General features: G+C 55.7%; 1 protein-coding gene across 3 annotated transcripts, besides 1 other annotated feature; it reads right to left on the reverse strand.

Moving 5' to 3' along the window:
* Positions 304–23322, reverse strand: KRT80 (keratin 80). Of its 3 annotated transcripts, none has more exons than NM_182507.3 (9): positions 22911–23322; positions 16687–16895; positions 12211–12271; positions 11821–11916; positions 4908–5072; positions 4346–4471; positions 3506–3726; positions 2966–3021; positions 304–2830 (listed from the first exon to the last, which is right to left on the reverse strand). In NM_182507.3, the coding sequence occupies exons 1-9, from the start codon at positions 23208–23210 to the stop codon at positions 2706–2708; spliced, it is 1359 nt and encodes a 452-aa protein (NP_872313.2). In that variant the 5' UTR covers positions 23211–23322; the 3' UTR covers positions 304–2705. The 3 variants fall into 3 exon arrangements, with proteins under 3 accessions (NP_872313.2, NP_001074961.1, XP_005268733.1); NM_001081492.2 differs by having other exon boundaries at positions 304–2865; XM_005268676.4 differs by lacking the exon at positions 22911–23322 and having other exon boundaries at positions 11821–12271; positions 16687–17057.
* Positions 14876–15701: an enhancer, noted in NCBI's record as "H3K27ac-H3K4me1 hESC enhancer chr12:52577352-52578177 (GRCh37/hg19 assembly coordinates)". NCBI's record gives its function as "activates a minimal SCP1, AML or CMV promoter by ChIP-STARR-seq in naive H9 embryonic stem cells {active_cell/tissue: H9 hESC(naive)}" and the evidence as "EXISTENCE:reporter gene assay evidence [ECO:0000049][PMID:30033119]".

Raw genomic sequence — 23484 nt, forward strand, 5'->3', positions numbered from 1 at the left:
GGCGGGCAGATTACTTGAGGTCAGGAGTTTGAGACCAGCCTGACCAACATGGTGAAACCCCATCTCTACTAAAAATACAAAAGATTAGCCGGGGATGGTGGTGGGTGCCTGTAATCCCAGCTACTCGGGAGGCTGAGGCAGGAAAATTGCCTGAACCCGGGAGGCAGAGGTTGCAGTGAGCCGAGATCCAGCCACTGCACTCCAGCCTGGATGACAGAGCAGGATTCTGTCTCACACATACACACACAGACACACACACACAGACACACACATACACAAAAGAAAGAAATCCCTGAGACTTGGTAATTTATAAAGAAAAGACATTTATTTTGGCTCACAATTCTGCAGGCTGTACTGGCATGGCACCAACATTTGCTCAGCTTCTGGTGAGGGCCTCAGGAAGCTTACAGTAAAGGCGGAAGGTGAAGGGGGAGCAGGCATATCACATGGCGAGAAAGAGGGGAGAGGTCTCAGACTCTTTTAAACAACCATATCTATGTGAATTGAGTGAGAACTCACTCATCACCAAGGAGATGGTGCTGAGCCATTCATGAAGGATCCTCTCTCATGATCCAAATACTTCCCACCAGGCTCCACTTCCAACACTGGGAATTACATTTCAACATGAGATTTGGAGGGGACGAGCATCCAAACCATATCAGATGGTGAGACAGGAGAACTTTGTGTGTACCAGCTGCACTGGTCTGAAGATATAACTAAGTCCCTGGACTTTTTCTCCCTTAATTGGAGAATTCCTAATGTTCCATGATCAGCCTGATTGACCAGTGGCTGACTGGTCCTGAGAGGGGAGATAAAAACAGACACACAGCTTTCTCCATAGACAAATCTCAACACTTTATTCATCCTGTGGCAGCAAGAAGGGGACATGGCCCCAAGATAGCCAATCAGGTGAGGTGGCTGGAGTATGTGTTATCTTTCCAGATAGTACATACAGACTGATCATGCAGAAACAGGAAGGGAAGCAATAAGTTAAAAGCCACATAAGTTATGAAAAAATAATATATACTTTATATGTCTTGTATCCCCACTGAGGATTTGCTCCCTTGGAAACCAATGAAGAGCCTGAGGAAAAGCACCAATCAGCACCCTCTTTTGGGACTTTGGGGATGAGAATCTCTGAGTTCCCATGGCCAGAGAGTCAGTAACCCTCCAGTGCTCCCCACAGGCCTGGAGGGCCTTGAGGCCTGGGATGGGCCCAGACCTCTGGCCAACATGTCCTGGCAAATGAGATGAATGAATCTAATGCAGTCTAGAAGAGGAGGTGAGGCAAGGGGCAGGGAGGGGAGAGGAGAGTGAAGGAGGGAAGGAAGCTGTGCAGTGGGAGGCTGGTGCCGCTGGGATGCCTCTGCAAGCCTCAGCATTGAGAGCCAAGAGGAGGAGATAGGAGTATGCCTGCCAACACCCCTGTCTTCTGGTGGGATGTGGAATTTTCCTCTCTGGTAGAACCCTTGTAAGGCTGTCATTTGGGCCCCACAGCTGGACCTCAAGGGCTTGGAAGCTCCCAGACTTGCCTGGACTGTGCCTTCTTCCTGGCCTGCTGGAGGCAGGGGGAGTGGGCATGGAGGGAGGAAGGGGAAGGAGTGAGAAGAAAGGAGGAGCTCTAACCCCATAGGTGTGGGGGGTTCCTGGGCTCCCCCATGAATGCCAAGGAGGGGAGGGCCAGGCTATTTGGCCCAGTGGAGAGGAGAACAGAGGCCCTGAGAAGTGAGATTCTTGGGAAGTGGGCCTGGGGCTTCACGGCAGGGGTGGGACCAGGGGTCTCCAAGGCCTGGTGCACCAAAGCCCGGTGCTCAGGCTGGGAACAACCCGGCTGGGGGCACAGAGCTCAGATCCAGGCTGGGTAGGACCCCAGCATGGCAGGGAGGTGAAAGGAAGATCGAATGCTCCTGCCCAATCTCAAGCTGCCATCTGGCTTCCACTCCCAGGGAGTTGATTATGGCAAGAGCAGCTTCCGGAGAAGCTGCTGGGAGCTGGCTGGGGGCAGCCCATCCAGTTCTGACTACTGCCTACTGGGAGGGACCCATGGGAGGAGGAAGGGATGCGGGTGTTCGGGCTGATCTCTGGGGCCTAGGCTTAGGTCCCAAATAGCCAGGGCCCCTCCTCCCTTCACTCCCTAATACTGTCAGGTCTCTGGGGAGCCCAAAGAGCACGGGAAAGCCAAGAGGGTCTTCAGCAGCCAGCCTTCCCAGGAATTCCAGATACAGGACAGGGCCCACGCCGTCCTCCTCGGCTCCCGCACATAGGTGGATGAGCCAGTCCCAGTCCCAGTTCCGAGGCAGAGACAAGGCAAGGCTTGAGATAGGAGTCAAGGTCAAGGATTGGGCAAGAGTCAGAGGGGCCTTGGCAGAGCCTGATGCTGGAGGAGGAGCCTCAGAGGAGCGAGGAGGTGGAGACAAAACTGACCCCTAATTCCGACTCACCCATCAGGAAAACCTCTGGCCAGAAGGTTGGAAGGATGGGACTGTGAGATACTGATATGGAGCGGAGTGGCTCTGAGGAGCTGGTGATGCTCCTCTCCCACCCTGGCAGCCCACAAAACACAGTCAGTTTTGAACCCCTCTCTCAGTTCAATATCAGGTTTTGCCTCTCTTCTCAACCTAGAGGCTCCAAGCTGCTTTCTTGAGTCTAGCTTAAGTCCCTCCTGCTGCAGTGGAGTGCCCTGGGGTTCCTGGGGTCCAGCCGCCTTACTCTGAGACCTCCGACTCCTGCGAGAAGTACTTCTCTGACATTTCGGTGATTTTGATCACGGGGCCTTTGCTGCCCTTCTTCTTTCGGGAGGGGGCCTTGGAGAGGCCTGATCTGGAGGCAGCTACAGGGAACATAAGGGGTAGGGGAGGGAAGGGGCTGGAGGTTTGGGAGCCACTTAAAATGATGCCTTTAGGATCATGATCCCCTACACCCTCACCCTCACCCCACCATGGGTTCTCGGGGCAAGAGGACTCACCGGTTTTGCACCTGGACTGCACAGCGCTGACCACAGTGGCTGAGGGCGAGTCCATCCTGGGGGTGGGGGACGGGGGGGTGGGAGAGGGATATGATGGGATGCGAAGAGAGCCTGTGGCTTAAACTCCCCTGGGGGCTGGCAAGTGGAGGGTAGTTCTTGGTGGTCACTCCCAGCCCTGGGGTTGCCCTGTTGTGTGGCCCTGGCTAGCCAGCTTGTCCTTCCTGGGCCTCTGTCCCATCTCCATGGCATAAATGGCTAATAGCATTGAGCACTGAGTTTTGACAGGCATTTGCAGGCATAATCACATGAATCATCCCTGCCACAGGTGAACCATGTTTATGATCAGCCCACTTTCCAGATGGGGAAACAGGATGAAATGAACTGGGCCAAGGTCCCAGTTTGTAAGTGACTAAGCCAAGACTTAAACCCAGGCCTGGTAGGCTCACTGTATCATATTGGAAAGGAGAACTGACTTTGTGTAGGCCTGGGCCTCCAGCCCTCCTTCCCCTGCAGCCCTTCCTCACCAGCCCTGGCTCTCACCTGCCCTCCTCGCCCTCCACCAGCTTCCTGTAGGTGGCGATCTCGATGTCCAGGGCCAGCTTGACGTTCATCAGCTCCTGGTACTTGCGCAGCTGCCGCGCCATGTCCTGCTTGGCCTGCTGCAGGGCGGCCTCCAGCTGGGCCAGCTTGGTCTTGGCATCCTGGAAGGCCAGCTCACCCTGCTCCTCAGCTGTCTTGATGTTCTCCTCCAGTTTCAGGCACTGCAGCCAGGAGGACAGAGTGAAAGGGCCTGTGAGCAGGGGAAGGAGGAGCGGGCCAGGGCCAGGAGTCGTCTCTGTCCTTGGTGGGGGTAGGTGTGGGGAGGGAGGGCTGAGCAATGGCATTTCTGGGTGTGGTAACTGGTTGCCATGCAGCAAGAGGGAGTTCAGTTAGACCTGAAGAGGCACCTTCCCAAGGCCAGAGGAAAGCACCGCAAGCCACTAAAGGAGCCTGTCCCGGCTGTCCTTATGGGGCAGCACCTGCCCTGAAGGTTTGTCCTGGCTGGAAGCTGGGACTTAGGCCTCTACTCCCTCCTCTCTGTGTAGTTGGTGGGGGTTCCCAGGAGGGAGGCAGTGGGCTCTGGGTGTGTGTAGTGTGGGGGCTTTCTAACGTTCCAGCAGCCTTGACCAGATTACAGAGTATTTTTGTATGCAGAGCGCCTCATAACTACTTTAGGAGGCTGTGCTATTATCCCATTTGACAGATTAGGAAACTGAGGCACAGAGGCGCTAAGCGACCCACACAGGGTCACTCAGTCATGTCTTGCCTGTATTCAGCACACATGACTGTGTGTCTCCCTGCTCTCCTCCCCGCCCCCAGGCGCGTCCCCCAGATACTCACATGGCTCTTGACAGAGAGGATCTGGGACCGCAGCTTCTGGATGCGCACATTGAGATCCGCGATCTCGCTGCGGCTGCTCTGGAGGCTGCTCCCATACTCGGCCGAGCGGGCGGCCTGCTCCTCCAGCTGGAGGTACATGGAGGTCTCAGTGAGGGGCAGCTCAGTGCCGCTCCCAGCACTTGTTACCCGCCTCTGCTTTTTCTTGCATCCTCCAGTCCCATCTCCAACTCTGCAGCCCACCACGCCACGCCAGGCTCCCTCAGCTCCCCCTTCCACCTCCCTTTCTGGGTGGCCTCTCCTGGCTGCCCTAGCTGAGCCCCATGGGCCATGCCCACATCTGGCCTAGCATTGCTGATAACAGCACCACCTTGAACTCCTGGAGGGCACAGACCAGCTTCTGTGGTCTCCCCCCGCCCGCCCCGTCCCTGTGCTTCTCCATTCCTCTCTCATAGACTTTCAGGACAGAGAGCTGCAGGCAACCTCAGCCATCACCAGTCCAGCCCTTCCTGCCACCCAGAGAACTGTCCAGGCTGCTTCTCGTGCCCTGTGTGGTCAGCCCCACCTGGCTCCGAGAGTATGCCTCGGCCTCCTCCAGGCTGCGAGCCGCGACGGCGTCATACTGGGCCTTCACCTCCTCCACGATGCCGCTCAGGTCGATGTGGCAGCGGCTGTCCATGCCGACGGTCACCGACACATCCTTCACCTGTGCTGCCAGGTCCTTCAGCTCCTGACCGGGCACAGATGTGGGGGCTCAGGGCTGGTGGGGAGGGCACAAGGACCCTCAGCCCCACACAGTCACTTTGTCCCCGGGGTGAGCGGAGAGTGGAGCTGCTCCCTTCCTGTCCCTCTGGAGAGATGATGGAAGGCCGAATGCCTCCCTGCCACGTCTCCCCAGCCAGGACTCTCGGAAGGCAGCTCACTGCCCACTGCTCACCCACCCACAGTCCCCCTATCTGAGTGGAGGGCAGGCTGGGACTGTTGGTTTTAAAGGCTACCTGCAAGCTTCCCCACTGCCTGCACTGTTGCCCTCTCCTGGGAGGGATGGCCTACTCCTGGCTGATGGGAAAGGGCCAGAGAAGTCAGGCTCTGGGGCTGTGAGTTGGGCCCCTCTGTTTACTGTTTCATTATTCCTGTGCTGTGGGGTACAGCTCTGCCTCTCCCACTGGACGAGCAGCTCCTTGTGGGCCTGGCAGAGCTGTGTTCATCTCTGAGCCCCCACGTCTGGGAAAGGAGTGCCTCAGTTCATTTGGTAAATGTTGGGAGGGAAGCCAGGGAGTGACCAGGGTGGAGTGGGCTGGAGGCTGACAAACCTGTACTCCCCTCTCCCGGCCCCACTGAAAGCCAACAGCCTGTGAGGAGCCTGGGCGCAGCCTCCAGCACTCTGACTTCAGGGTCCCCCTGGAGACTCAGCGCCCACTCCCTCTCTAGCCAAGGGACATTGCCTGGACGACCACAATATTTTCACCGTCTCCTATCCCTGGAGACTTCTGGAAATGGTAAAACCCACCATTCCCTGAGGAATTCCCTGCAGGCTGGACTGTGCGCTGAGCGTTTTCCACACATCCTCACCAGGCTGGCACTGCTGCAGCCCCAGAGGAGGAAACTGAGGCATAAAGATGTTGTGGAGACAGCGGTGAGTGGCAGGGTGGGCCCCGGAGCCCCTGTTGCTGCTGCTGTGACGCTCCCTTAGCGGATGGAGACAAGGGGCTGACACCTTCTTCATTGTCTTTCTGGCCCCAGACCAGCTTTCTTTCCTGCTCACAGCCTCGCACCTTTCTAGCCAGAATGCTCAGGGGTGTGTAGGGAGGCAGGTGGGACCAGGGATCTCTAGAGGTTGCAAAGGGCCCTGGGCTGCTTATCCTGGAGATGCTGAAAAGGGTAGGGCCTCCTGTGGGAAGGAGGAGCAAGGCGAGTCGACTGAGAATTGCACCGAGTGAGTTGGTGGCAGGGAGGGGGCCAGGCAGGAGGTGGGTGTTGGGTGCAGACACATCATGCTCCTTCTGGCATTCAGAGTCCACCCTGACCCCTATTTCAATCATCAAATTTCAGTCTGCATTCCCATTTTGCTGACCGCCTCATCATTTTTTAAATGTGTTTGTCTGAATCAGGATCCAAACAAGGCCAGTATACTGCAGTTGGTCCATATGTCTGTAGGTCTCCTGTAATCTCCATTTCTCTCTTTTTTGTTCTTTGCCATTGTTCTTATTGAACACACTGGCTGTCTGCCTTGCAGAGTCCCCACAGCTGGGTTTGATTGTTGTACCCTGTGCCAATGTTCAACGTGCTTCTTCCAGCCTCAATATTTTCTGAAAACTGGCCGGTGCACCCGGATGCCTGCTGGGATCCAGGCTCAGCTTTTTAGTTCCTGACTGTGTTCTGATCCTGGTTCCTGACTCTGGGCGCCCTCCTGATCCTCTGTCTCTCTTTCTGCTTGGAGAGTTTGTGCTGAGGCCTCTGGTTTCTGTCTCAGGCGGAGGCTGGACTTCTGAGCTGTAGACGACAGGGATGAGGGGCCAGCTAGGGCCCTGTGGGCAGCCTGTCCGGGAACTGACTCTGCCCACCAGCACCTCCTGGTGACAAGGATGGTGCGGTAGTGGCGGGCATTCGGAAGCCCCTCTGGGGGACAGCCTGTCTCTGCCCTGGAGCTGGCAGGACCCTGAACTCAGTGGCCAGCTGCCCTTGGGTGTCTCCTGCTGGGGGTTTTGGTTGATCTTCAAATGAAAATAGAATCTCTGGGCAAAAGCAGGCTGATGGCCCAACCCGTGTCAGAATAAGATTGATTGTTACCACAGCCCCACCTCTGCTGCCCCAGTCACTAGCCGACATTTCCCATGTGGCACCAGCACCCTGGCTGGGGCTTGGCTGGGGACAGTTTCAGAGCTGCAGCTTTGAGGCTGTTTTGGTTGACACATTGTGGGCATCGGTGGGTGTGGGGGGCCTCAGAGCCCTCCAGTGTGCTTCTACAGGAGGGCCTAACTTGGCATTCGTTATGGCCCCAGGAAAGGCCGGCGCACTGTGAGGACGCACTATAGCAGGACTTCCCAGTCAGGGTGAAAAGACTGGCCAGACATTTTCTGGAAAGAGGCAGGCTAAGCAGGAGCTTGGTAAACAAAAGCAGGAAATGGAGCGTTCAGAACATCCACAGACGTGTTCAGACATGCAGGCCCCTGCCGGGCTGCAGAGAGTATGACAATTCGGGCTTGTGTGGTGTGGAGGTACCCAATGGGATGGGACCCCTGGAGAGCACGTGAGCCTCCAAATGGTTAAGAATTAAGCCGAAGTACAGTTTAGGGTTTCCCTTAGGAGGCTGCTGTGCGTGTGAGCACCCTCACTGTGTTCCCCACGTCAGGGTAGATTGTGACTGTTATGGGGTAACAGTGTTGGAGAGTAAAATATAGCGCTAATGGCTCTGGACACTGAATGCCATCACTTCTTCTTCTTCTTCTTTTTTTTTTTTTTTTGAGATGGAGTTTCACTCTTGTTGCCCAGGTTGGAGTGTGGTGGCGCAATCTTGGCTCACTGCAACCTCTGCCTCCCGGGTTCAAGCAATTCTCCTGCCTCAGCCTCCCAAGTAGCTGGGATTACAGGCATGCGCCACCTCACCCAGCTAATTTTGTATTTTTAGTAGAGATGGGCTTTTACCATGTTGGTCATGCTGGTCTCGAACTCCTAACCTCAGGTTATCCGCCCGCTTCGGCCTCCCAAAGTGTTGGGATTACAGGCGTGAGCCACTGTGCCCGGCCAATCACTTCTTATTAGTTGAGTAACCCTGGTCAAGTTTTTAAATGTGTCTAAGCCTTGGTTTTCTCATCCGTAAAATGGATCTAATTATAGAGCTGAAAACAGATAATGTTTGTTGAATGCTTACCATGTGTCAGTTACTGTTCTAAGTATTTTAGGATATGTTAAGAAAACAAATCCTCACAACAGCCCAGTGAGGTAGATGCTATTATTGTCCCCATTTTATAGATGGGGAAATTGAGGCATATAGAGATAAAATAGCCTGCTCCAGTTCCCACAGTTACTGAGCCAGGATTCAAATCCAAGCTGTTCAAAATCTGTGCTCTCTTAATCATTATCCCTACTTCATAGAGTTGTCGTGAGAATTAACTGAGATTAAGTCCGGAAAACACTTAGCACAGTGTCTGGAATATATTAGGTGCTCACTAAACAGTAGTTAAGGATTCTCTATTATGGTAATTGGTAACAGTGATAAAGCTGGGACAAAGTGTTCAGGGGCAGAGCAGCCTATTCTCGGGGCAGCCTCCATGCAAAAGTTTAGGCAGCACTGGCTTTTCTCTGCAGGGATGGACCTCCCTCGAGGTGTGCCTGGCTGCAGGGGGTTGTCAGCAGATTCCACAGCTAATTTCCCTGGAGCCAGAGTGTAGGGGTCAGGTAGGTGGCATTCCGACTGGATGCAGCCAGGCCCCAAACACACTTGGGAGCTGGACTGTGTCTCAGAAACTGTGGGGGAACCTTCCAGCCTGTGCCCCCAGGGGAGAGAGGCAGAGGGTTTGCAGTAGATGAGGCCTGAGCAGATCATGGCCATGAGCTCCTACTCAGTTGGCTTGGAAGGGCTTTTCAGAATGTATCTTGGCTGTGTGTGTGTGTGTGTGTGTGTGTGTGTGCATGTGTGTGTATGTACACACACACATGTTTTGGAGAGACGAGAGGGCTGTTTTCTGGGACACAGGGGTAGGCCTATATTTCTGATCTGGTGTCTGCTCCAAAGCTGAAACTAGAGTATCAGGGCCTCCTGGGCCACTCGTGTTCTGCCAGGTTTTTCTTCCACCTGAGGCAGGTGTGGCTGGCACAGTCTTTACTCAGAGCTGCTCTGTCCAATGAGGTAGATGTCGAAATAATTATATTTTTGATATATTGGGCTAAATAAAATATATTATTAAAATTATTTTTTCTGTTATTTTAAAATGTGGTGACTAGAAAACTTAAAATTACATATGCAGTTCACATTGTATTTCTATCAGACGGCACTGACTTAAGACACCCTCTGGTGTGGGGAATAGTTTTGGCAAAGAGTCAGCATTGCCCTCTTAGCCTGCAGCAGTGTATGGAGAGAAAGGCAAACCTCCAATTTCAACCCCATCTTGCTGCTTTCAAAAGTAATAATAACTGCTGTGGTTCCCTGGCCCCTACTGCCTCCATCGCAAGCCCTTCTCCACAGCAGGCTCAGGATAGCACAACCACACCTGAAACCCGCTGTTTGCCACCCCGCCCCAGTGCCCACCGAAGGCTGCCTGTCACACTCAGAATGAGGTCCAAGTCGTGAGACAACCCTGTGAGGCACTCTCTGACCCAAAGCTCCCACCCTGCCCCGTGTGCTCTGACCAGAGACTTCTTTCTTTTTCTTTAATCGCCAGGCTCCCCTCCTGCCTTAGGGGCTTTGCATAGCAATTCTGTGCCATCTCCAGTCTCCACTGGGCTGGATCTCTGCCACTCTTAGGGAGGGTACCGCCTGTGAGAGGCCCCGCTCATGGGCTCTGAGGCTCTTCCCTCCTTCCGGCTCCAGCGCAGCACCCGGTTTCTTTGCATCCCAGAATCTGTCACCCTGCGAAGCGATCTTGTCCAGATATTTGCTGACTTGCTTATGACTTGTCTCAGCTAAGTCATGCCCTCCTTGAGAGAAGGGACCTTGCCCAGGCTGTGGTATCAGTGCCTGGCACTTAGTAGGCATGCAATAAACATTTGTTAAATGAATGAGTGGGCTGAGTCCTCCTCACAGCCCTATGAGGCTGGTCCTGTTACTCTCTCCATGCTACAGATAAGGACACTAAGGCACAGAGAGGAGAAAAAACTTGCCTAAAGTTACAGAAATAGTAAAAAAAAAAAACAAGGCCAAGTTGGGATTGGGGCCCAAGGACTGCAAAATCCAAAGGGAACCCACAGGCCTGGCTACTGGGGCAGGGGCCAAGAAGTCTTGTGGGGTGCTCAGGAATATCACTGGTTATGCCCAGCCTTCTTCCAGTTATGTCTCTACAGCTGCAGGGCCTGCATCATGGCTTAGAGCTTGAGCTCTGAGCTTGCTGAGACATCAGTGAGCAGGTAGAGAAACACTGGGCTCGGTTTTCAGAATCTGCACTCCATCTAGGCTCGGCAGAATCTGCACTCACCCATGGACTCAGCCTCTCAGAGGCAGTATGAGTGGGTGGAGGCCTAAGGGTGGCAGAGATCCAGCCCAGTGGAGACAGGAGATGGCCCTGCTGATGCCAGCCTGGGCTGCACCAGCCCACAGTGAGTTTGGGCAGAGAAGCCCCTAGCCCAGTTCCCACCCAGCCAGTGGGCATGGTGCCCTGGTCAGCCCCATAGCACTTGGCCTGGCTGTGGGGGGATTTGTTAGGGCCAGGAAGCTTTTCAGGGCTGTGGGGAGAGCGGACTGCCTAGGAGGGCTGCCTTCCTGCTGCTCCCAAGGGTTTGCTGTTCTCTCTGCTATGCTACCTCTCGTGGCCACAAACAAGACTCAGTTCCACGGAGGCCCCAGCTGGCAGCTGGGACTGCTGGAAAGGACTGTGACCCATGACAGGGCCATGAGGCCCGGTCTTCCTTTCCACAGGATGCAGCCATGAAGCTGTGGTCAGCAGATCATAGGGCCATTTTAGCAGAATCTGTAAGTTGTGGTGGTGACTTTGATCTCAGCCTTGACCTTGGCTGCACTGCCATAGCTTGGCACCAGCAGTGTGCAGCACTTAGGCGGGCAAGCCCTGTTATCTCCAACAGTGGTGCTGCCTGCTCCTAGCTGAACTGCAGACCTCTGTGGAAGGGACTTTAGCTCAGGAGTGTCACCCCTGAACCTCCTCACCCTTGAAACAAGTGGTGTGGAGAGGAGGACACATATCCTGAAGGGTGCCTAGGAGTCAGCAGCTGGCATGGAGGAGTGGTGTCCAGAAGCCAGCGGCAGTGCCCATCTAATGGCTGTGTTGATGCATGCCATGCTGTTATGGGCCCTTGTACACTGGGCCCCACTGAGGACTTAGGAAACAAATGCGAATGTTTCCTCTGTCTTCGCCAAAAATGGGGAAAACGGAAAGGCAGGCCTATCAGAACTAGCACTGTGGGTGCTGTGGTTTAGGCTGCAGGAATTAGGGAGAGATCAGTTCAATCAGCATGCTCGTTCCAGACCCCTGGGTTCCATGCCACTGAGGCCAGCCTCCTGACCCTTGTCCGAGGCACCTGGTCCCCAGCATGCCCTCAGTACTCTAGCACACAAAGGTATAGTTCTTCCAGAAAGAGTGGCCTTTGGGGAACCAGCCCATGTTCCATGAGATGAATGTCCAGGGGTCATGCAGGGTTATTGACACCATCACAGGAAGGGGTTTAGGAAATTATTATTCTGGGGCTGGAAATTGTAAGTGACTGTTGGAGGTTCCATGCCCCACTGGATGGCTGTGCTTCCCCTGTGTCCTTTACCCATGGACCAGCCAGCTCTGGGCTTGGCAAGACACTGGCCCCATCTCACTCACCTGCTCATAGATGGTTTTCATCAACTCCACGAAGCTCTCCAGGCTTTTTAACTTGGTTTCCAGTTCAGTCCGATGAAGACACTCTGCATCCAGGTCCTGGGGTTGGCAGCAGTGGTGAGTGGTGGGAGAGGGAATGGAGGGTCCCAGGGCAGGAGTGGGCTGGGGGGCTGCCTCCTGGGTGAGAGTGGGGGTGATTCCAGAGGAGATCTGGCTCAGAGCCTCGAAAAAGGAGCTGGATGGGGATGGGGGTATCTCCCTGTCTGTCTGTTGGTCCTGGGACTTAAGCCTCTGAGGGCTTTGATTGGGCATAAAGGAGAGTAGGATATCTGGAGGGAAAGAGGGCCCAGGGCCCATGAGGAAGGAGCCCCTGGGGCAGGCTGGGCAGGCTACCTTCTTCAGCTGAACAAAGGTGAACTCCATGTCTGTGCGCTTGGAGATCTCATCCTCATACCTGGGAGGGAGAGAGGGGTTGCTCAGCTGGATATGGTGGGGGCTTGGGCCTGGTGAACTCCCCTTGGTTGGGGCTCAGGGCCTGTGCTATCCCACTTGGGGTCTCTTTGCCAATTAAAGAAAAGCAGCCCATCCTTCTCCCTCTTGCATCTTCTATGACACATCCTCTCTCTCTCCCCCCGACCTCCTGGCATTGGCTCCCCGTTCCTCACTCCCTCCTGATGACACAGTCCTCTCCCAGTGGCTTCTGCCCTTTCCTGGCTCTGCTCCACACCCACTCCCCTCCAGGAGGCCTCCCTGATTGTGCAGCCCCTCACCCTGGCACTTTATCCCCTCATCTTTACCTGACCTCCTTCCCTGGCAATCTCAGGTTCACTCAAGTCCGCTGGGAGCATCTTGCTCACACCTCACCTCTCCCACCTCCATGCCTTCCCTGCAGCCCCAGCCACCACCCCTCTGCTTTGCGAGCCAGTAGGACACCATCCCATTGTATTCCCTCCAAAGGGAGGCTGGAAAGAGTGTGAACTTTGCTGTCAGAGGGACCCCCAGTGTGTTTTTGGGCAAGTTGCATCACCCCTCCTCTCTTGGCTTCCTGCCTCTAAGGGGTAGGCATGTGCCCACGTGTACAGGGGGCTGACAAACCCACCCCTGACGCAGTTGACAGCCAGCTACAGGCCGCATAGGCCATACTCAACAAAGCTCAATAACGCTCTTCTCAGTTTGGACTTCTTACTCGCTCCCACCTTGGGTTTGGAACAAGGACACCGTTGGGTGGGGAGGACAGGACCCCCAGATCCCTGGCCCGACCCTCTTCCTCAAGTCAAGACATTTGTTTGTCTTAGCCCCAGGGTGGGTGTCTGCTGGCTCCAGACTTCTCGCTGGCCCCAGCTGCTGTGGGGATTCAGCAGCTTCTGTTTTTTTCCCTCCTATTCGGGGAATGCCTGAATCACTGGCGGCTCTAATTACAGCCGCCTGCCTACCTCAGGCCCTAGCCTCCCAGCAGGGCTGCGTCACTCATCACCCATTGAGCTGGCTATATCTGGCGCCCCTCATGCCTTCTTCTTTCCCACCAGCCCACCTGAGGAGCTGAGGGGCGTGGACCCAATGGCAGGGCACGTGGGTTTCTGGTCTCAGTGTACCAGGGGCCCACACCCTCCCTGGCCACTGCCTTGGCTGCCAAGAGTCTGTTAGGGGCTTTGATGGTACAGGTCCTGGGGGTGGGGCAGAGGAGCAGGCCGGGGAGAACGTTCTGCTGTCTAGGCATCCCCAGAGAGAACTAAATTGGACTTGAGTGGGGAATAACAGGTGCTGAGTGCTTCACCTGCACTCTCTCTGGTGGTCCTCAGAGCACCCAGCTAGGGAAGTCCCATTGGTCTCATTTTACAGATGAGGAAATGGAGGCTCAAGGAAGGACTGGGGGCTCCTGGAGTGTGCTGATGAAGCAAGGGGACCAGAGCCAGGCTACTTGGGCTGAAATCCTGGCTTCCTTGCTAACCAGCTGTGTCCTGGGGTGAGTTCCTGTGTGCCTCAGCCACGATTATAGTGATGCTGTGACGATTAAATGGGGGCAATTCACAGAGTGCTTGCAGCGGGGGACAGCACCTGCTGGGGCTCAGCCCCTCTGCTTCGGCCTCAGGAAGCCTCTTGGCACAGCACAGGTGCCTCTCTGCCACTCACCCTGCCTAGGGGAACATAAGTAGGGTGAGTTGAGGGAGACAGCTGGCCTGGCAGCTGCCCTGGGAAACCCCCTCTGGCAGAGAAGGACACCAGGAGTCAGGGGACTGGAGGGAGCATCCTCACGGTATCCTGGCTAGGCCAGGTCTGCCTTGACCCTGGACCTCTAGGTGTGCTTTGTGGGTGGGGTGGGAATAAGCCCTGAGCCCCAGGGGAGAGGACCGAGGGGAACGCTGGGCTGCGGCTGGACACTGGGTTCCAGTCTGCAGCCAGTCCCCTTAAGACCAATACTGTTTCATCTCCAGCCTTTGTGCCAGTTAGAAAAAAGCCCCCTTCCTCACGGGCTGTTTGACCTGGTACCCTGCATGGCCTGATGCTTGTTTGGATTTCAGTCCCTATCCACCGCCTGAATCATGCACACTTGTGCAGCGCACAGTTTGCACAGCTGTATGTGGCATCCCTGAGTCACTTGCTGTGTGGCCTTGGGCAAGTTGCTTCCCCTTGCTGGGCCTCTGCTTTGTTCTTAGTAAATAGAGGGCTAGACTGCTGATCCTTGGGGTTTCTGCTACCTCAAAGCCTTCGGAAGTCTCCATCCCCATAGAGGCTTAGGTCCCCTATTCCACTCCCAATCCTCTGCCAGTCTGTCAGCCACCAGCTCCCAAACCCATTCTCAGGCATTTTTTAGCTTGTCACACCTGCACCACCATCCCCACCCCCGCAACTTGTTTATTTCTGGGAGTGAGGCTGATCTCATCGGCTCCGTAGAGACAGGGCACAGCCCTTCCCTACTGGGGCTTGGCCTGGCGTCTCCTGGCTCCTGGGGGCCCTAGGCTCTGCACAGTCAGGCTGTAGCTCCCCTGGCTCTGGCCTGAAGACCGAGAAGCCCTCCAGCCAGGCTGTTTGCCCAGTCTCTCCTTCCCAACTCGGGTGGGTTCCCTACCCAGAGAGAGGAAGAGAGGCTCAGCCTAAGCAGTAGAGTCAGGTAGCAGGCGGATAGAAACCAGGCGGCAGGCCAAATGAGGGGGCTGAGCCAGATTAAAACAACAGGTAGTGTGTGTATAGAACTTCCAGTTACAAAGTGCTTCCATGGACGTGATCTGGCGGAGCTCGTGGGAGCAGCCTTACCCAGTGGCTGGCTGGGGTTAGGGATGGGACTTAGCATGCAAGGCTGTGTAACTGAGGACAAGCCCTGCCCTTTCAGGGCCTGTTTCCTTCCCTGTAAAAGGAGGATCCAGGGCTCCCTCTGGCTCTGGCATTCTCTGAGCCTTTGAGGGCCAAAGATCTACTGGGGATCAGGAAAGTGGGTCACAGATTCTGGTGAGCTGCCCCGACTGCCCGGTCATGGTCAGGTACTAGGAAGCTGGGTCTCTCCGGAGGGGCGGTCAGATGCCCTGTGTGTGTTTCCCTAGGCCTGGGAGGGCAGGGCTGGGGAGAGGCGATGGGTAAACTCAGCTACAGCCCAGGTCTCTGGACTCCTGGACAGGACAGGTGCTCTCCACTCTCCAGCCTGCCTGGACGGCTGCTCTGGAGGTTGTGGGTCTCACCTCAGATTGGCAGGGTTTGGGGCTGGGCCGCAGCACTGCAGGAGGGGAGACCAAGGGTTCAGCCTGCCCTGTCCTCCCCTCACGCTGGCTGGAGGTCTCCTTGCAAGGAGACCAGACCCAAGGAGGTCGGTGCAGGGCACAGCCACTCTCCTCTGCCCCAGGCTCCTTGTTCCTGAAGCCCTGCCCACTACCTGACCACAGAGGGTCACCTCTCCTCTAAGCAGCCCGAGTGACCAGCCTTCCCTTTTAGACTGGCCAATTCAGTTCAGCAAACCTGTGTCAAAGACCTGCTGTGTGCTGAGAACTTCAGCCTTTTAGGGATAGAAAAGCTGCCATTTATAACTGCCAGTCACCATGCCACACTCTCAACTTCCTCCTCAGGTTAGATACCTACTTTAGATTGGCATCAACCATAATCATTCCCGTTTCACACAGGAAGAAACTGAGGTTCAGATATTAAGCCACTTACTGGAGGTCACAAAGCTAGTGATGGGTGATGATGAAGATTAAACCTCATTCTGGGCTAATGCCCAAGCCTGGGCCCATAAATGCTGGGATATACTGCCCAGCAACTGTTTGTCTGTCTGTCTGTCTGCCCCACTAAGTTGTAAAGGCACCTTGCATACTGGGGCTGTTTTCCTTATCTGTCTCTTTCCAAGTCTACCTTGATGTCTGGCATGCATTGCTTCTTTATTCAAATCAAACCCATTCTTTCCATCCCCTTCCTGCTTCCTGGTGGCTTTCCTCTCCTTTCCAACCCAGTCGAGATCAAAATCTAAAGCCACATCTAAAACAGAAACCCATCTGTTCTAGCTAGTGACGTAATTTCCCATTGCCAGAGCAACATGTGGACAAGAGCAAGTGTGTCCATAGGTACAAGAGGACGGCTGCTCGAGGCAGGGGGTGCGGGTTATGATGATGCCCAAGGGCCAGCAGGCACAGGGTTTAGCTGGGAGCCAGCACAAGATTGACTTTGTTTTAAGGGTTGCTATTAGGGAGGGGGCGGCTGTAGGTTCACAGCCATATCCTCAGTATTTAGAATACTGCCTGGCACATACCAGTCCCTCAATAAATGTCTCAGGTAAAGAAATGTTGCAGAACATCTTTCCTCTTTCTCTGGCTTAAGTGCCTCCCATCTGAGCACAGCTTGGTCCCAGCCCTCAGGCCTTGCTCATGGCTCTCATGGGGCTCTACGTACCTGATTCGAAACTCCTCAACCTTCTCCAGCACCTGCAGCAGGTTGGCCTCCAGCTGCCCCCGCTCCTGGCTCACTTTGCGCAGTTCCTCCTGCAGCCGGCCCTGATATTCCTCATAGAGATGCCCGAGGTCGAAGATGGCTGAGTCCTGGCCCTGCAGGAAGCTCCAGCGTGTCTCCAGCAGCTGGTTGCGCTGTTCCAGGGCTTGCACCTGGGAGAGCAGGAAGGCGGCGAATGGGTCAGGTGTGGACCAGTCGGGGGCTGAGGCCCCGGGCTGACCAGCAAGAGCCCACGGAGGGCTCCCTGGGAAGTGGCAGCTCATTTATGCACACCACCCAGGGCGCTCACTCAGCAGAAAGCACCTCCAATGACTGATTGTTAAAACTGAAGATGGTGAGATAAGGACAGGATCAGAGCAAGGTGGAGCCAATTAGCAAAGGTTTCCAGGCGAGGGCAGGGCAGGGCTGGCAGAGGAAGGGGGTAAGAGGGTGTGAGAGTGCCAAGCATGCGACAGGCTCTCCATGCCTGCCTGGGGCTGGGGCGGGAGACCCCAGGGAACATGGGGTGTCAGAGGCCTATCTGCCCCCTTGCCACCACGACAAGTGTGGTCCCATCTTGTCCTGGAAACTCAGCAGGGTAGGGCCTGGTTAGTACTGTCCTTAAGTGCTCATCCTCTCGATGACAGAGGCTCCCTGAACCTCAGTTTCCCCAGCTAGAAGTTAGGAATGATAACACCTGCCTGCGCGGTCCTCTCCTTCCCTCCACCCTGTCCAGCCGAGCTCAGCCTGGGGCTCTCCCTGCCTCCTCCCCACCCTGCCTGTCCTCTCTATTCTCCTTCCCATCACCAGGCCCTCTGCTCTCCCCATTTGTTCTTCCAGCTCCCTCCTGCAGGAAGCTCTCTGTGACTCAGGTTGAAAGACTTCCCTCTTCCCTCCAGCACTGAGGCCTTCAGTTTAGCTGCTCCTCCTTTGTCCTGAGCCACTACTCTCCCCATGAGACTGTGGGGACACCTGGGGATGTGCTTTGGGATACGACAACAGCAGGTGCTCATGTGGCCCCTGCTGTGTGCCAGGCCTTGCTCTACATGCTTGACCCATGAAATCCCTGCAGCACCCCCATGGGTGGGTACTATTATAAGCTGTATTTTACAGATGAGGAAACCAGAGGTGATGGAACTTGCCCAAGGTCACAAAATTAGCAAGTGGCAGAGCCAGGCCTGGAATCCAGGAACTTTGGGTTTAGAACCTTTTAACCACTATGACACATGCGTCCTGTGTGTTGCTGGTCACTGTGGGCCCTGGGATCCCAGCTACCCTTCATGGGCTGGCTTCTGCCTCCAGTTAGGGACAGTTTTGCCTCGAGGTGAAACCCTGGGAGGGCTCTGAGCCCAGCTGCGCCTCTCAGACTCTGCCTACCATATGCCTCTTGCTGGGAGGGTCCTGCGCAGTCCTCTCCTTCCTTCTACCCAGTCCAGCCCAGCTCAGCTTGGGGCTCCCCCTGCCTCCCTCCTCCCCACCCTGGCTGTCCTCTCTACTCTCCTTCCCATCACCAGGTCCTCCTCTCCTCCCCATTTGTTCTTCCAGCTCCCTCCTGCAGGAAGCCCTCCATGACTCATATCTTGAAAGGCCCCCAGTTTACCTGTTTCTCATTTGTCCTGACCCACCACTTTCCCCATCACACTGGGAGCCATCTGCTCCCCCTTGGGGCCTCTCCTCCCTTGGTGCCAGGGATAGGCCATGAGGGCAGGCCATGAGGTTGGAGGCCTGGTTGGGGCCTGGCTCCCGTCAGTGTGGGTTGTTTGTCATGAGGATGTTTTGATAACCAGCCCAGTGATGCTCCCTATGGTCACAGGTGAGTAGCTGGGCCTTCTCCCACCACTGCCGGTGCTGCTGGCCCAGGCTCCCAGAATCGTAGCCTGCGAGAGCTGCCAGCAGCCTTTTGGATCAGCTGAGCTGGGCCCTTCATTTGCAGAGGAGGCAATGGAGGCCAGGGGTGTCAAGTGACTTCTCCAGGGTCACAAAGCAACTCGGTGGCCCAGCTTCCCAGAGAGCCCCATCTGATGGCCACTGCCCTCTCTGCACCTTCGTAGGCTCCCGAACGGTCAGGTGGGGCCAGCCCCTCTCTCTCTGCTCTGCTTCTTCAGGGTGTCCTTGTTTTTCCTGAAGTGCTCTGACGACCCTTCGACATTCACAGCAGACAACGCCAGCAGGAATACTGGATGATGGCGTTTGACGGTATTTGCGGGCTGCCATTCCCCTGCATATCTGTACTGGTAGGTTCTGCTTGAAGCCAACCTTAATCCTGCTCTCTGCTGTACTCACAGCCAAACAGGTTCAGTAGGGATGGAGGTCAAGAGGGTTTCTGCCCTGCCTTGTGAGTGTGAGAGGGAGCGTTGGGGGGGCAGGTATCTGCTCACCCCACCTTGCCTCCGTTTTGACAAGCAGGAGCCCCATGTTTACACTGAGGGTGGAGTGAGAGGAGAGATGTGAGGCTCCTTCCTCCACCCATGAGCAGCAGAGAAATCTTCACACCAGGAAGTTCTTCCTACAGTCTAACCTCAATTCCCTATGCTTCAGCACTAGCTCGCTGGGACATGGTGTGCGTTTGGCCGGCCAGTCCAGCTAGAAGGCATCTGTGGTCTTAGGGGATCAGGGACAGCCCCCTGTTTTCTGCTGCCCTTGGGGGAGTCTCTGGTTGTCTCAGTGGGCGGGGATGGAAATTCATTCCCCACTTGGGACCTTCCTTGCAGAAAGGCTCCTCCCTCTCAGAACAAGGACCTGGGGAGGGCTCATAATCCTGGTGCCCTGAGAGGTGCCAGGTTAATTGCCTCCAACCCAGGAAGACTGCCGAGCCTTCACCTCTGATTCCTCCTCTCTGTTCTGCCTGGCCCTCTGCCCTTAGATCATACAGTAGCAGCTGTAGCAGGGACCTCTCCATTTTACAGATGAAGAAACTGAAGCCCAGTTGAAAAGTAGGGCCAGGTTGGGGCTGAGGTTAGGGGAGAGGCATGTTGTTTTGTGGGGGAAACCGAGCAGCCTAAACTGGAACTCCTGGAGGGAGACAGGCCGGACATCCCAGAGGCTGCAGGTCTTACAGGGGAGTGCCTCTGGGCCACACAGGTAGTGTTCCTTAGCGGGGGCTGTTGAATCCCCGGCCTTCAGCCAGACATTGGCTTTAGCCAGGGAGCCTCAAAGACTCACGAGCAGTGGCTGGTTTGTGCTTTTCTGCATACAGGCAGGGGGAAGGCTGACTTCAGCTCTTCCAGAGGTCACACAGGCCTCGGTGAAGACATTGTCTCCATCCCTCTGTCTCCATCCCTCTGTCTCCAGGCATTTTACCACTGCTCATAGGTTCCCTCTCTACAGCCTCCCCAGGATGAGCTCAGGCAGTCCTGCCTCTTGCCTCTCTCTCCATCCCCTCTGTTGTCTGTGTGTGCGTGAAGGCAAGAAGCCCAGCCAGCAGCCTCTGCTGGAGGTCGGCCTTGCGCCCTCCCTGCCTCCCCTGGCCTCTCCTGCTGCTACTGCTTCTCCTCATCCCCCTTCATCTCATGACTGTTGCCTTACCAGTCCTTCCACTGGGACGAGCTCAGGACCACCGGCAGAGCAGAGCAGTGGAATCTGGGGCGCAGAGAGGGTAAATGACTTGCCCAGGAAAACGCAGCCAGCAAGTGGAAGAAACCACAGTGTTCCAGGGCCTCTACCACCTCCTGAGAGTCTCTGCTCCTCCTGAGTGCTCCCAGGTTCCTCTCAGTTCCTCAGAGGGCCCCCACCCCTCTCCTCTCTTTACCCAGAGCCCCCACCCACTGGTCATGGCGTCTCACCCCTGGGCCTTCCTCTGGGTCCATAATTGCTCAACAGCCCTGCGCCGTACCTCCTGCCCATGAGTCCCTTCACTCCTCTATCCGGCAGGGAGCCTCTCCCCACCTGCTCTCCAGGCTCCTGCCTGGAAGGGGCTAACTGGGTTCTAGCTGCTCCCTGGGCCAGGCCCATTTATTTCATTTTTTATTTAACAGTTATAATATACTTAATATATACCAGATATGTTCTAAATTCTTTTCAAAAATTCTCCCATTTGATTCTAATGAGCCTGCTAACCTAATGTGTGCTGAGGCACAGAGAGGTTAAATAACCTGCCTGAGACAACACAGCTGGTCAGTAGTGGACCGGGATTTAAACCCCACAATGCTGCTCCAGATTTCACATCTTAACCACTTCCTGCTTCCATGTGGGCCCTCACAGCCTCCACAAGGAGGCAAGGAGGGTGGGGCTAACAGATCTTTGCAGAGTTGAAGGGTCAGCTGGGGCCCCTTGGGGCCCTGCAACCAGGGCCCCCAAACGGCCAGTACCCACAGCTCCCTGTGTCCCACCCTGAAGGGCACCCCATCTCAAGGTCAAGGCTAAGGGTTGGGAGGCTCCAATTCTGCTAAAGAACTTCAAGGGCATTGCCCTGGTCTCTGGGCACAGGACCCCAACCCTGAGGGCCTCTTCCCTGTGCTTATATCCTCCCATCCCCATGGCAGGGGCACAGGGTGATATCAGTGCTGGCGTTTGAGGGAGAAAACCACCCATCTGAGCCAAATTCCATAGCTCAGTGAAGCATTCCTTCTAAGGGATTAAACTGGGTTTGGTCAGGAGGTGGCTCTTTAGGGACCTGCCTCCCCAGGGCAGCTGGGCTGCTCTTAGAGGGAGAACCAGCTCAGCAATGCAAGGCTCTGTGCAGTTAGGGCTGGGGGAAGGGATGCTCTGCCTCAGTGGACTGTGGTCCTTCCCCTCTGGGTACCCAGGGGTACCCCAGGTGTGGATGATGAAACTCTGGTCTAGGCACATGAATGGAAGAAGGAAAGAAAAGATTCCCACCACAGAGACCACTGACTTCGTGTCTCAACAGACCTGAGTTCAAATCCAGACTACCATTTGCTGGTTGTGTGATCTTGGGCAAGGCACTTAGCCTTGCTGGTCCTCAGTTTCCTCATCTGCACAGTTGGGAAAATAACAGCCACTGCAGGGTGGCAGTGTGGCTTGAATTTCATTGCATTTGCAATGTTCCTCCAGAGGGCAAGGCATAAGTAGATGCTCAATGCATGTTACTTTCTTCCCTCTGCCCCTCTCTGTGAGCTCCCACCTCATGGGGGAGACCAGCAACATGCAGAGGAACACAGAATCAGAGGCCAAGAGCAGACAAGGACTGAGCCAGGGGCTGAAGGCTGGACCTCTGGTTTACTGGCAGGTTCAGAAATGTACAGTTTTCCTTATCTGTGAAATGGACATAAAATTGTCTTCTCCCATAAGGTTGTTGAGAGAAATACAGATAAACCTGAAAAGCATCAGCACAGTGCCTGGCACATAGTAAGCAATTAACCAATGGCAGCTGGCACTATCATGATTATTCTTGAGGGTGCAGGAGGGTGCAGAGTCAGGAGGAGTTTCTTGGAGAAGATGAGTAAAGAACAGATTTGGGAAGTGGATAACTTCCTTGGGAGCTCCCTTGCCCTGGGAGCAGAGGTGGACACGAGTGCCCCAGACCTGTTGCAGGCCATGGGTAGTGGAGTCTAGGAAGTGTGGTTGTGATGCTGAGGATGCACCTCCCGCAGTCAGGAGGGGCGCAGGGTGCAGGAAGGCCCAACTGGCTTCCCTGTTCTGACTCGAGGCATCGTCCCCTGCATTCCTATCTCCTGACACCTGAGCTGCACCCTCACTTGCAGCAGTCTGGGCAGCAACCTCCTTCCAGCAGCCCCGCACTCACCCTCCACCCTGCTGGCTTTTCTGACTGGGGCAGCTGAGAGAGATGCTGTGGGACCAGAGGCTTGAGGGATAAACAGGAGCGTGGTGCCTGGGAGGCCATCTCCCCTGTCCACTTGCCTCAGAGTAGGACCGCAGAGCATGCCTCCATCAGCCATTCCTGCGAGAGGGCACCCCTGGCCACACTAGGTGGTCCTCCCCAGTCCCTGCCTGGGTGGTGGGTGACCCCAGGTCATGCAGCATGTTATTATCAACACATCCCTCAAAGGCCATCCTGGGGTCCCTTTCTCCCCACATGCCAGGATGGATCAGGGACTTCCCTCCCCCAGCCTCTGCTCAGAGCTAGCCTGTCGGGTTAGCAGTGCCATCTCCCCATTGGCTGGGTGCAGGGGTGGGGCGCGGTGATCGATGCTCAGGGAAACACAGAGCTCAGCTACCGGCCCAGGCCTGGCAGCCCTTCATGTTTGGGACCCCCTACTTGTGCTCACCTTGCCAATTAGGGAGGCAAATTTATCATTGAGGGCCTTCATCTCCTCCTTCTCCTGGTTCTTCAGCTGCTGAACAGCGGGGTCCAACTTGACATCCAGGGGCACCAGCAGGCCGGGGTTCACAGTCACCTTGGAGATAGTGCCAGCCGACCAGCAGCCTGTGAGGCTGCGGGAGCTGAAGCCCGGCCCGGGGGCCCTGCAGCTGTCCCATCCTGAGGTTCCAGGCCGGGGGCTGCCCACCGGGGTCACCTCACAGCTGCTGAGGCTGCTGAAGCCAACCACGCAGGAGCGGCAGGCCATGGTGCCCCCGGCCGGAAGCAGGAGGGCCCAGGGGGGTGAGCGAGTGAGCCTGGGGTTGCGTCGGGTGGCAGGCTCTGGTTGCTCTGGTCACAGCTGGGGCGGGCTGGGGACTGAGGAGCAGACACCTGTTGCACAGTGCTCATTAGCTGCAGGAGGGCGGGACGCCTCCCAGCCTGACCAACCTGTTGGATGATGTGGGTGCTCCCGCCCCTCCCCCAGCAGCATGTAGGTCTCCCTCCCAACAGGTATCTGCATTGCTTAGGGGGCTGGTCCA

The sequence above is a fragment of the Homo sapiens genome, chromosome 12, assembly GCF_000001405.40.
Source record: "Homo sapiens chromosome 12, GRCh38.p14 Primary Assembly".
Lineage (NCBI taxonomy): Eukaryota > Metazoa > Chordata > Mammalia > Primates > Hominidae > Homo > Homo sapiens.